At 36.2% G+C, this 13415-nt stretch overlaps 1 long non-coding RNA gene across 1 annotated transcript in view; it reads right to left on the minus strand.

Moving 5' to 3' along the window:
* The window catches only part of LOC105376634 (uncharacterized), a 146154-nt gene that overhangs the window by 122214 nt on the left and 10525 nt on the right, over positions 1–13415 (minus strand). Inside the window, exon 2 of the long non-coding RNA XR_931202.2 lies at positions 11820–11914. This is a non-coding gene — a long non-coding RNA (uncharacterized LOC105376634). The remainder of the gene's footprint in view (positions 1–11819; positions 11915–13415) is intronic.

Here is a 13415-nt window from a genome sequence, read left to right on the forward strand (position 1 = left end):
TTATTGATGAGACTCAGAGGTCTTCAGTGACTTACACAATGCCCCACAATGAAAAGATAGGAAAATAGTAATATACACTATTTTCCAGTCTGATATTAAATTTCCATTAATGTACTATACTGTTTCCTATGATATTAGGAAAGGGGTATACATATGCTATCGGCATGTATCCGTGGAATGCCAATATTCATTACTCCACATATGTTGGGCTATCTGCAAATCAGTTTTCTCCTGTGTAAAATGATGAATTGGAAAAATAAGTGACTTTTTTTTCTCTATGGCATGGAATAGTACTTTTCATTTATTCAAACAATTCTAACTAGTCTGTCAAAGTTCATTTTATATACACACTTTTAAGCAGCTTAAAACTTCCTTTATAAACCTCAGCAGTGAAAGTATTTTTTGCTAAAGGTCTTCACTTGATTATCTTTATACTGCCTTGAAACATTCTGTAGTAGTATGGAGAAGACAGAATATATAGCTTCTCTGGGAATCACTGAAGCAACTATAATTGATGTTCAAATTAGGTGATTTTTACTCATTCTATGTAAAGAAAGAAAAAAGTTAAGGAGAATTGTTGGTACTTGGAGTTATTTCTTTCTTGAGCTGAAAGAAGGGAGAAAAGATCCACATTCTAATTTTTTATAGAGAACTCAAATTAGGCTTAAAAAGAAAAGTGCTTCTTTTCTCTGTTGGCAGCTCCTTGATTTTGTTAAGTTGGCACTTGTTCTCTTTTTCCTATTAAGTCATTCATCAGTTGGTAAACTGGGGCTTACTACAGACATATCAAAGTGAGAGCAAAAACCTGAAGACATTATCCAGGAACCTGAACATAGCAATGGATCAAGCAACTTTGCAGAAACATATTCCCATGAGGCACAGAGGGGTCAATTAAATACCACCCCAGGTGGCCTTACAGTTCTGAATTTATTTTTCCTCTTTGACTCTTTTAAGTAATATTTAGGTACCTCAAAACACTCTGAGGTTGGGAACATACTTTTTTATTATCCCATTTTTAATTATGGAGAAAGAGAAAGATCAAACTTAACATTCACATAAAAATGGGAGCTGCGGTGGCTCACGCCTGTAATCCCAGAACTTTGGGAGGCCAAGGTGGGCAGATCACGAGGTCAGGAGTTCGAGACCAGCCTGACCGACATGGTGAAACCCCATCTGTACTAAAAATACAAAAATTAGCCAGGTGTGGTGGCACACGCCTGTAATCCCAGCTACTCCGGACGCTGAGGCAGGAGAATCGCTTGAACTCAGGAGGTGGAGGTTGCAGTGAGCCAAGACTGTGCCGCTGCACTCCAGCTTGGGCAACAGAGCAAGACTCCATCTTAAAAAAAAAAAAAAGGATCTACGGCAAAGAGGCATGGTTAGGTACATCCCTATAATATAAGTAAAGGTACTTCTCATAAAGGGGACTGGACAGCAGTCCTTATGTTTCACTAAAGCAAACTGCTATTAAGATAATCCATTTTCAAACTGTTAAATACAAATATAAAAGGTACAGTTCTAGTGGGCCATGAGGAGGGCTAGGGATGATACACAGAAAGCTTGAGAATACAGGTTCTAAAAAAAAGAAATTCTTTCATCCCTGGACAAAGAGGCAGAGCAAGATAGGTAAATAGAAGCCTCCAGTGATCATCCCTCCCCAGAGTAACACCAAATTGAACAAAAGTCCACAAAAACATACCTTTATGAGAAGGAAAAATCAGGTGAGGACTGAGAAGAGTAGGCACTGAAGAGAGTAGGAAAGACAGTTTTTAATCACCTATACTATCCCTCTCCCACACCCCAGCAGTGGTCACATGGCATGGAGATAAAATCTGTATGTATGAGGTAGAGACAGCACAGTGATTATGAAATCTTGCATTGGAACTCAGTACTGCCATGTCACAGTGGAAAGCAACACAGGGCAGAACTCAGCCTATACTCCCGGAGGGAGCATTTAGACAAGCCCTAGCCAGAGGTGAGTCATGTATCTCAGTGGTCACAACCTGAGTTTCAGTAAACCCAGCACTATGGGCTAAAGTGCTCTGGGATTCTAAATGAATTTGAAAGGCTGTCTAGGCCACAAGGATTGCAAGTCCAGGGCAAGTCCTGGTGCTGTACTGGGCTCAAAGCCAGTAAACTTAGGATTCACACAACCTAGTGAGACACCAGCTGGGGCAGCCAAGGAAGTGCTTGTGCCATTCCTCTTCAAACTCCATGCAGCACAGCTAGCAGCTCCAGTAGAGACTCCTTCTCTCTTCTTGAGCAGAGGAGAAGGAAGAGTAGAGAAAACTGTGTCTTACAACTTGAGTATCAGCTCAGTCACAGAAAAATAGGGTGCCAGGCAGAGTCCTGAGGTCCCCATTCTAGGCCCCAGTTCCCAGATGACATTTCTAGAGATATATTGGGCTAAAGAAAGTGCTCTTCCTTGAAGGGAAGGACTCAGTCCTGGAAGGATTTACTACCTGCTGACTAAAGAGCCCTTGGACCTGAATAATCAGCAGTGGTAGCCAGGTAGTACTTGCCACAGCATGGGGTGAGAATCAGTATTATGCTGGCTTCAGGTGTAACCCCACACATGCCAGCTATGGTGGCTATAGGGAGAGACTCCTCCTGTTTGAGGAAAGTAGATCTAAGAGTAAAAGGGACTTTGCTTTGCAGCTTCAGTACCAGTTCAGCTACAGTGGGGAAGAAAACCAAGTGGGATCCTGGAGTCCCCAGTCTGGGAATTGGGTCTGGATGTCTGGATGCCATTTCTAGACCTGCCCTGGGTCAGAGGCAAATCCACTTCCTGTAAGGAGAGACTCAGGACTGGCAGCATTCACCACATGCAAGCTGAGGTACTCTTAGACCATGTGTGAACATCAGCAGTAACCAGGTGATACTTGCCAAGAACCCAGGGTGGTGGTAGTCATGCTTAGAAACTCCTCTGCTTGAGGAAAGGGGAGGGAAGAGAGGAAAGAACTTTTACAGCTTGGTTGCCAGCTCAGCCACAGTAGAGTAGAGCACTAGGTAGATTTCTAAGGACGTGGCTCTAGGTTTTGGTTCCCAGATGGCATCTATGGACCTGCCCATTGCCACGGGGATTCACTTCCTTTAAAGGAAGGACACAAGTCTGGCTTCATTCACCACCTGTTGACTGTAGAGCCCTCAGGCCTTGAGTAAACATAGGCAGTAGCCAGGCAGTGGTCATGGTGGGCCTTTGATGAGACCCAGTACTGTGCTGGCTTCAGGTCTGACTGAGAACAGTCCCAGTGGTGGTGACCACAGGGGTGCCTGTGTTACCCCTCACCCAGCTCCAAGCAATTCAGCACAGAGAGATAAACTCTGTTTGTTTGGAGGAAAGTAAGGAAAAAGAACAAGAGTTCCTGCCTGGAAATCCAGGGAATTATCCCAGATCTTACCCAAGACCACCAAGGTGGTACCTCTACAAGTCTGCAAAAGCCACAGCGTTACTGAGATTGGGGTGCCTCCTAATGCAGATACAACTGCAGCAGTGAAAAACTCAGATCACAAAACCCAAGTCCCTTTGTGTACTTGGAAAGCCTTCCTCTGAAGAATGGGCACAAACAAGCCCAAAGTGTAAAGGCTAAAATAAATACCTTAATCTTCAGTGCTCAGACACCAATAAACATACACAAGCATCAAAACCGTTTAGGAAAACATGACCACATCATGAACTAAATAAGGTACAAGGAACCATTCCTGGAGAAAGAGGTATGTGACCTTTCAGACAGAGAATTCTAAACAGCTGTGTTGAGAAAGCTCAGTGAAATTCAAGATAACAGAATAGGAATTCAAAATCCTATCAGATAAGTTTAACAAAGAAATTGAAATAATTAAAAATAACCAAGCAGAAATTTTGGAGTTAAAAAATGCAATTAAAATACTAAAAAATGCATCAGAGTCTCTTAACAGCAGAATTGATCAAGGAGAAGAAAATTAGTCAGCATGAAGACAGGCTATTTGAAAATACATAGTCAAGGGATTAAAAAAAAGAATAAGAAAGAAAAAGCATGCCTATAAGATCTGGAAAACAGGCTCAAAAGGGCAAATCTAAGAGTAATTGGCCTTAACGAGGAGCTAGACAAAGAGATTAGGGTGGAAGGTTTATTCAAAGTTAGTTATATTAAGAGAGAACTTCCCAAATATTGAGAAAGATATCAATATCCAAGTATAAGAAGGCTATAGAACACCAAGTAGACTCAACCCAAATAAGATGACCTCAAGCCATTTAATAAGCAACTCCCAAAGTTCAAGGATAAAGAAATGATCCTAAAAGAAGCAAGATAAAAGAAAAAAATAACATAAAGGAGTACTAATATGTCCGGCAGCAGACTTCTCATTTGAAACCTTATAGGCCAGGGGAGAGTGGCATGAAATATTTAAAGTGTTGAGGGAAAAAAAATCCTTATACAATAGTATAATATAAAATAGTATACAATATACAATAGTATATCTGCAAAAATATTATTTTAACATAAAAGAGAAAAGAAGACTCCCAGACAAACGAAAGCTGAGATATTTTAATGCCATACCTGTCCTACAAGAAATGTTAAAGGGAGTTCTTCAATCTGAAAGAAAATAATGTTAATGAACAATAATGAAACATCTGAAGGTGCAAAACTCACTGGTAATAACAAATACACAGAAAAACAGAGAATATCAAAACACTGTAATTGTGGCATGTAAACTGCTCATATTTTGAGTAGAAAGTCTAATAGAGGAACCTACCAAAAATAACAGCTATAACAACTTTTTAAGACATAAACAGTAAAATAAGATATAAATAGAAACAACAAAAAGTTAAAAAGCAGGGGATGAAATTAAAGATTAGTTTGTATTAGTTTTCTCTTTGTTTACGCAATCAGTTTTAAGTTGTCATTGGTTTAAAATAACAGTTTATAAGATATTATTTGCAAGCCTCAACCTCAAATCAAAAACAGATACATGGAATAGTTTTAAAACGTTAAAACATACCACTAGAAAAAATCACCTTTACTATAATGAAGACAGAAAGGAATGAAAGAATGAAGAGAAAACCACCAAACCACCAGAAAACATAACAAAGTGGCAGGAGTAAGTCCTTACTTATTAATACGACATTGAATGTAAATGGACTAAACTCTCTTATCAAAAGACACAGAGTGGCTGAATGGATAAAATAAATAAGACCCAATAATCTGTTGCCTATAAGAAACAGGTTTCATTCGTAGATATAACATAGACTGAAAATAAAGGGATAAATAAAGATATTCTGTGCAAATGGAAACCAAAAAAGAGCAAGAATGGGTATACTTATATCAGAAAAATACTTTTCAAGCAAAAGAAAAAACTATAAAAAGAGACAAAAATTGTGATTATGTATTGAATGCCAAAGGGGTCAATTCTGCAAGAAAAATAATAATTGAAAATATATGCACCCCACATTGAGCACCCAGATATATAAAGCCAATATTTGTGGAGCTAAAGAGAGAGACAGACCACAGTGTAATAATACCTGGGAATTTTGTCACACCACTTTCAGCACTGGAAAAATCATCAAGACAGAAAATAAATAATGAAACACCAGATTTAATCTGCAATATAGACCAAAAGGACCTGATTGATATTTACAAAACAATTTATTCAATGGAAGCAGAATACACATTTTTTTCCTCAGTACATTAAACATTCTCAAAGGTAAGCCATACATTAGGCCATATAATTTCTTTAAAAAAATTTTTAAAAATGAAATTATATCAAGTATCATCTCTGATCACTATGGAATAAAACTAGGAATCAATAGCAAGAAGAATTTTGTAAATTATCAACCACATAGAAAATTAAACAATATTCTCTCTCTTAATGGCCAGTAGGTCAATGAAAAAGTTAAGAAGTAAATTTTCAAATTTCTTAAAACAAATGAAAATGGAAATAACATAACAAAGCCTACGAGATAAAGTGAACACAGTACTAACAGGGACATTTATAATTAGCAATAACTGCCTAAATCAAAAAAGTATAAAAACTTTAAACAAACAACCTAATGATGCATCTTGAATAACCAGAAAAGCAATAGCACACCAAACCCCAAATTAATAGAAGAAAAAAATTTATAAATATCTAAAGAAAAATAAAAAGAGAAGGTCCAAATAAGTAAAATCAGAGATGAAGAAGGAGACATTACAACCAATAACACAGAAATTCAAACAATCATTAGAGGCTACTATGAGCAACTAAATGACAATAAATTGGAAAACCTTGAATAAATGAAAAATTCCTGGATGCATACAACCTGACAAGAATTGAACCATGAAGAAATCCAACACCTGACTAGCCCAGTAACAAGTAATGAGATCAAAGCCACAATAAAAGTTTTCTAGCAAAGAAAAGCCAAGCACCCAATGGCTTCACTGTTGAATTTTACAAAATATTTCGATAAGAAATAATACCTCATACTCAAACTATAAAAAAATAGAGGAGGGAATACCTCCAAACTCATTCTGTAAAGCCAGCATTACCCTGATAACATAACCAGACAAGGAAACATCAAAACAACAACAACAAAACTAGAGGCCATTATCCATGATGAACATTGATGAAAACATTCTCAACAAAACAGAAGCAAACTGAATTCAACAACACATTAAAAAGATCATTAATCATGACCAAGTGAGATTTATGCCAGGCATGCAAGAATTGTTCAACATAGGCAAATCAATCAATATGATACATCATATCAACAGAGTGAAAGACAAAAACCATATGATCATTTCAATAGATGCTAAAAAACATTTGATAAAATTCGACATTCCTTCATGATAAAAAAAAAACCCTCAAAACACTAGGTATACAAGGAACCTACATCAACACAGTAAGAGCCATATACAACTTCCCCACAGCTAGTATGATGGCAAATGGGGACAAATTGAAAGCCTTTCCTCTAAGATCTGGAACGTGGAAAGGAGCCCACTTTTACCACTAGTATTCAACATTATACTGAAAGTCCTAGCTAGAACAGTCAGATAAGAGAAAGAAATTAAAGCACATTCAAATTGGAAAGGAATAAGTCAAATTATCCTTGTTTGCTGATGATATAATCTTAAATTTGGAAAAACCTGAAGATTCCACTAAATTATTAGAACAGATAAAAATTCAGTAAAGTTGCCGGATACAAAATTAACATACAAAAATGGGTAGGACTTCTATATGCCAAAAGCAAACAATCTGAAAAAGAATTCAAAAAAGTAATCCCATTTACAACAGCAACCAATAAAATTAAATGCCTGGGAATAACCTTAACCAAATAAGTAAAAAAAAATCTCTACAGTAAAACTGTAAAATATTAAAGCAAAAAATTGAAGAGGACACAAAAATATGGAAAGATATTCTATGTTAGTAGATTGGAAGAATCAATATGGTTAAAATGTCCTTACTATGCAAAGCAATCAACAGACTGACTATAATCCCTGTCAAAATACCATGACATTCTTCACAGAAATAGAAAAAATAATCCAAAAATTTATATGGAACCAAATGAGGCCCAGAGTAGCAAAAGCTATCCTTAGCAAATAACAAAACTGAGGAATCATGCTACCTGACTTCAAATTATGCTAGAGAACTATAGTAATCAAAACAGGATGACACTGGCATTAAAAACAGACACACAGAGCAATGGAACACAACTAAGAACACAGAAATAAATTTATATATCCACAGTGAACTCATTTTTAACAAAGGTGCTAAAAACATACCCTGGATAAAGAAAAGTCTCTTCAATAAATGATGCAGGGACAACCAGATATCCACATGAATAAAGAAATTGTTCCCCTATCTCTCACAGTATGCAAAACCAATCAAAATGGATTAAAGACTTAAATCTAAGACCTCAACTTTAATCTTTTAGTCAAAGGACTAAAAGAAAACATTGGAGAAACTCTCCAGGACATTAGTCTGAGACAAGATTTATTGAGTAATGCCCCACAATCACAAGTAACCAAAGCTACTTTAGACAAATGGAATCACATCAAGTTAAAAAGCTTCTTCACAGCAAAGGAAGCAATCAATAAAGTGAAGAGACAACCCACAGAATGGGAAAAAATATTTGCAAACTAGTCATCTGACATGTGATTAACAATCAGAATATATAAAGAGCTCAAACAACTCTATAGAAAAAAAATCTAATAATCTGAATAAAAAGTGGGCAAAAGATCTGAATGGACATTTCTCAAAATAAGACATACAAATGGCAAACACATATAAAAAGGTGCTCACCATCATTCATCATCAGAGAAATGCAAATTAAAACTACAATGAGATATTATCATATTCTAGTTCAAGTGGCTTTTATCCAAAAGACAGGCAATAATGAATGCTGGTAAGGATATGGAGAAAAGGGAAACCTTGTACAGTGTTCGCTGAAATGGAAATTAACATGACCATTATAGAGAACAGTTTGGAGGTTCCTCAAAAAACAAACAAAAAATAGAACTACCATATGATCCAGCAATTCCACTGCTAGGTATATACCCCAAATAAAGGAAATCAGCATATGAAAGAGATACCTGCACTCTCATGTTTATTGCAGAACTATTCACAACAGCCAAGCTTTGGAAGCAACTTAAGTGTTCTTCAGCAGATGAATGGATAAAGAAAATGTGGTACATATACACAATGGGGTACTATTCAACCATAAAAAGACTGAGATCTTATCATTTGCAACAACATGGATGAAACTGTAGGTCATTATGTTAAGCACAATAAGCCAGGCACAGAAAGACAAACTGCATGCTCTCACTTATTTGTAGGGGCAAACATTGAAACAGTTGAACTCAAGGAGATAGAGAGTAGAATGATAATTATCAGAGGCAGGGAAGGGTAGTTGAGCTGGGGGCAGTGGGGATGGTTAATGGGTACAAAACAGATGAAATGAATAAAGTCTAGTAGTTAATAATACAACAAGATGACTACAGTCAGTCAAATATAATTTATTGAAAATTTTAATATAACTAAATTTATAATTATATCTTTGGAACACAAAGGAGAAATGCTTGAGGTGATGGATACCCCTTTACCGTGATGTGATTATTATGCATCTTATGCTGCATCAAAACATCTCATATACCCTATAAATATATACACCTACTATGTACCCACCGAAATTAAAAATAAAAAAGGGAGAAATTCTTTTTATGGAAGTAGTAAATGTCAAATCCCTTTATCTCAGCATAAATTAGTACAAAAGCCATACCATCCTTATTTATCACTACCTTTCACAAAATACTTTTTTCTTTTTCCTGAGGCAAAAACAAAATGTCTTGTATATTAATGGATAGCTTGTGATATTTGGAAAGAAAAATATCAAAAAGCGATCTATACTTTGATTCTGGGCCTTACCTCATAAAACCATCACATGCCATATTCATTTGTTAAATAATTATTTTTGAACACCTAAATGCCAGGCAATGTTCTAGGGCCTACACATACATTATCAAATAAAACAAAACAAAACAACAGTCATACTAGAACTTACATATAGAGAGAGACAGACAATAAATAATGAACAAAATTCCATAGTATATTTATATAGGAAAATCCCCATAGAAAAAGTAGAATGGTGTGTGTGTGTGTGCGTGTGTGTGTGTGTGTGGTGGGAGGTGGTCAAGGTGGAAGCTGGAAAACTAGCTAAAAAGTTAGTGATAAAACATCAAAATAACAATTTCTTTTGAAAGATGAGCCACCGTGTGTTTTTTATACATTTGACATGGTATGGAAGAGAAAGAGAGATAACAAGAATAAGCTCAAGCTTTTTGATGGAAGCAAATAAAAGATTGAGTTCCCATTGGATAAACTGAGAAGGTTGAGGGTAGAGCAGGATTTGAAGAGGAAATTTAAGAGTTAAATTTTAAATGAGTTATGTTTGAAATATGTGTTAGATACCTAAGTGCAAAATCAAGTATGCAATTTAGTATATGACTTTGACATTTAAGAGGAGCTGAGATATATACTGAAGAGGTTTTCAAGATACTAATGGTATTTTATTATAGAATAGTCAATTAGCTCAATAGAAAAGTGAAGATAATATGCACAAGATAGCAGACACTAAGCTCTGGGTTTCTACAGCTTGAAGTGTTAGGGAGAAATTTGGGAACCAACTAAGGATACTGACCATAAGCTGTGAACAGGAGAAAAAACAAAAAGGCTGGTGACTTGCATGCCAAAGAAAGAATATCAAGGCCGAGAGAATGATCAATTATGTCAGATGATACTGATAGGTCATATAAACATCTAGAAAACTCTTCTGTGCAGGTTCAAAACAAACAAATAAAAATTGACCACCAAATGCTTCAACCAAAAGTACATATGGAAAATAAATACAGAAAAATAAAACTAATTGATTTCACAATATATGGATTATTTTTTCTTACTTTTCTTATTAAATGTTCTTCATTATCATTGTAACATTTTTGATAAAAAGAATGTGTTTACATTCTCCAATGGGCTCCAAGTTTACATGCCTATAATTATAGATGTACTTCTGTTCACAGTTTTAGAAAATTGCTTTCATACTTTCTTGCTTCAGTGGCTCTGTTTTCAAGATATTTTTGTAAATACTTTAACATCATCATCTCCTGGAAGCCCCCTTCATAGATCCAAAACCATAGAAACCTTTTTTTTCTCCAGGTATCATCCCAGGTGGCAGTGGCAGCATTTCTTCCCACAGTCTTAAAAGGATTTTTGTTTTTTTCCCCAGCAAACTCAACCATCTGTAAGGTACATGGATGTGCTTTGGTTAAGGAATAGGCTGAGTCAGACATCTAGTCAAGAGTGACTCAGCAAGTTTAGGGTGCAGGCACACACCTCCACTTGTTATATAACCTGTTTGTGTAAACTCATACTTGCCTTGGAGCCACTATTGTTTAAAAAGGTATAACTGCCCTGCTGATGCTGTTCACAGGGCTCAACATGTCTCAGGTGCCCCTGGTGCCCAAAGAGAGAATAATGCTACTGATTCCTGTAAGGGATAGCTGGTTGCCTTGGAGGTGGTCAGGGGGTAGCCAGAAACCAGCTTGCACCCAGAGGGAAAGAGTTAAGCTGCTGACCCTGTAGCTGGCCTTGCAGGCCAGGGAGTGCAGCTGCACCCATGGGGTGGCAGAAGCCGCAGAGCCAATTGCTGAGAGGAGCCTCAGAGCCTGAGCAGATAGCCAAGATAAAGGAAGACAGTGTAAGAAAGCTGCTGATGAGACAGCTGCTGAATAAAACCACATTTCACCTGCCTACAGTCCCCATGAGTGTTCTTTCAGCTATCTGCCACACACCTGCTCTGCTTGAACCTCAGCATGACCTCGAACCTGACCCTGAGCATGATATTTGGCATAGTCACGGACCTAACACCATGCTTATAAGGAAAAATACCTTCTTTGTCTCTAGAGGACCCTAATGCAGTGGCTACTTTTAATGAAATTAGAGTAATTTACTTTTCTAAAATAAATTACACAGGTGATTCTAGTGGGAGTTTCTATCTAAGGAAGATGAAGAGAAAAAAACTACCATCCCTACCTGCAATATAGATTAAACCACAGGAGTGCCTCCCCTCTACCAGTGCCTTACATTCTACTCATTTCATGTAGTCTCCATACTGTGACAAACAGGATATATTTTTCTTATTTATACCCGCATCTTGAGAGATGAGCAATCTGCCTTGAACATAGAAGGAGCTCAGTATCTGTTGAGTGTGGACTGAATCCATAAACATATTATATCTACAATGCTTTGAAGCCCATTCATTTGAAAGAGGCTTGTAGACATACCCAATTTCACACGTAGATCATAGAACTCACCTTGGGGATCTTGTCCAGGCCAGGGAAGAGGACTGCTGTCTCTGATGGTGAAGTTCTGGCATCAGAAATACTTTGGTGTGCCACTCTGGACTGCCCTTAAGTGAAAATGAACATTGCAAGTAAGCAGGTTTGGACTGTGCTGGCAGCGCTATGCAGGAAAAAATTACACAGCCTATTACTAACCAATTCCAGGTGCTTGATGAAGTTGTTTCAGTCTCTTTATTTCCTCAGCATCAGCACACAATAAACCCAGTATTACCCAACTTCAGAAATTCAGAGAATCAGTGTATGTTGCCTCTCAAATGCCTTTGAGAAAATTAGCAGTATTTTTTTCTCATCTACATGTAGGTATACCATTATTTGGAATGTACATGTAGATAGTCTGAGAACCTAGGCTTTGAGAATAAACATTCATTTGTAAGTGATAATTTTTTTCACTGATACAAATGTATATTATTTCAAGATTATAATGAAATCTGTACATGGAGCTATGGCTATTTAAGAAAAAAATTGTTAAAGCATTAAAATTTAAAAATTTATATTCAATGTGTAATTTACATAAAACAGAAAGAGGATACAAATTATATATATTGAATCATCATCCTTTTTGTTAGAAAAAAATTATCTACATTTAGAAAATAATGCTAACAGTAAATACAATAAAATAGATAAAGGTAAATACAATAAAATGTATATAAATAAAAATAAATACAATAACATATATAGACAAAATAACCATGGTTCTACAACTATTACTCAAGGTCATACATATGACCATATAAATATATATGAAATAATATGCATTTGAGCTCACTCAAGGCAGAGTACTCATCTCTTAAGATGAAAATATAAACAAAATATATATATCCTGTTTGTCACAGTATGGAGGCTGCATGACATGAGTAGAATGGGAGGCACTGGTAGAGGGGAGGCACTGCTATGGTTCAAGGTTATACATATGACCTTGAGTAATAGTTGTAGAACTGTAGTTATTTTGTCCATTTGTATTTATTTCATAATTATTCTATAATGAAAGTGAATTACCTTCAAAGTTACTACAAAATTGTCCTGAATTAAACATTTGAAGAATTTTCACTTTGAATTGTTGGAAATGTTACAAAGGTTTTACTAAGAATTTAGAATCTCTCTCCTTTTTTCTTCTAGCAGTAAGTTTTAAGGAAAGTAATTATATAGAAATAAAGAAAGCAATTATATGGATAAAAGAGACATCTTGTTTTCCCTTCTATCTCTGTAGAGTAGTTAAGCCTGAATAACAAAATGGCTTTATGAGTTAAGATGAAATTGCAAGAAACTTCAGAAATGCCTTTTCTCATTATCTCCCTCAGACATCTGTCAATATTTATCTGTTAATAGACTAAGCGATCAGCCTCAGTAAACAAAATATCAGATCCAAATATATATGTATATCATGTAAGCAATTAGAAGGATGAGTGGGGATAGCATATTAGCATGACAATTACATCAAATACCCTTATTTATATGGATCTTTCCTTCACAAAAGTTAATAGATGGTGAAACTAGCAGAACAGTAATGACATTCCTCAGGTTTTCTCCCCATTGTCAACCACTTCACTG

This window comes from Homo sapiens, chromosome 11, assembly GCF_000001405.40.
Source record: "Homo sapiens chromosome 11, GRCh38.p14 Primary Assembly".
Lineage (NCBI taxonomy): Eukaryota > Metazoa > Chordata > Mammalia > Primates > Hominidae > Homo > Homo sapiens.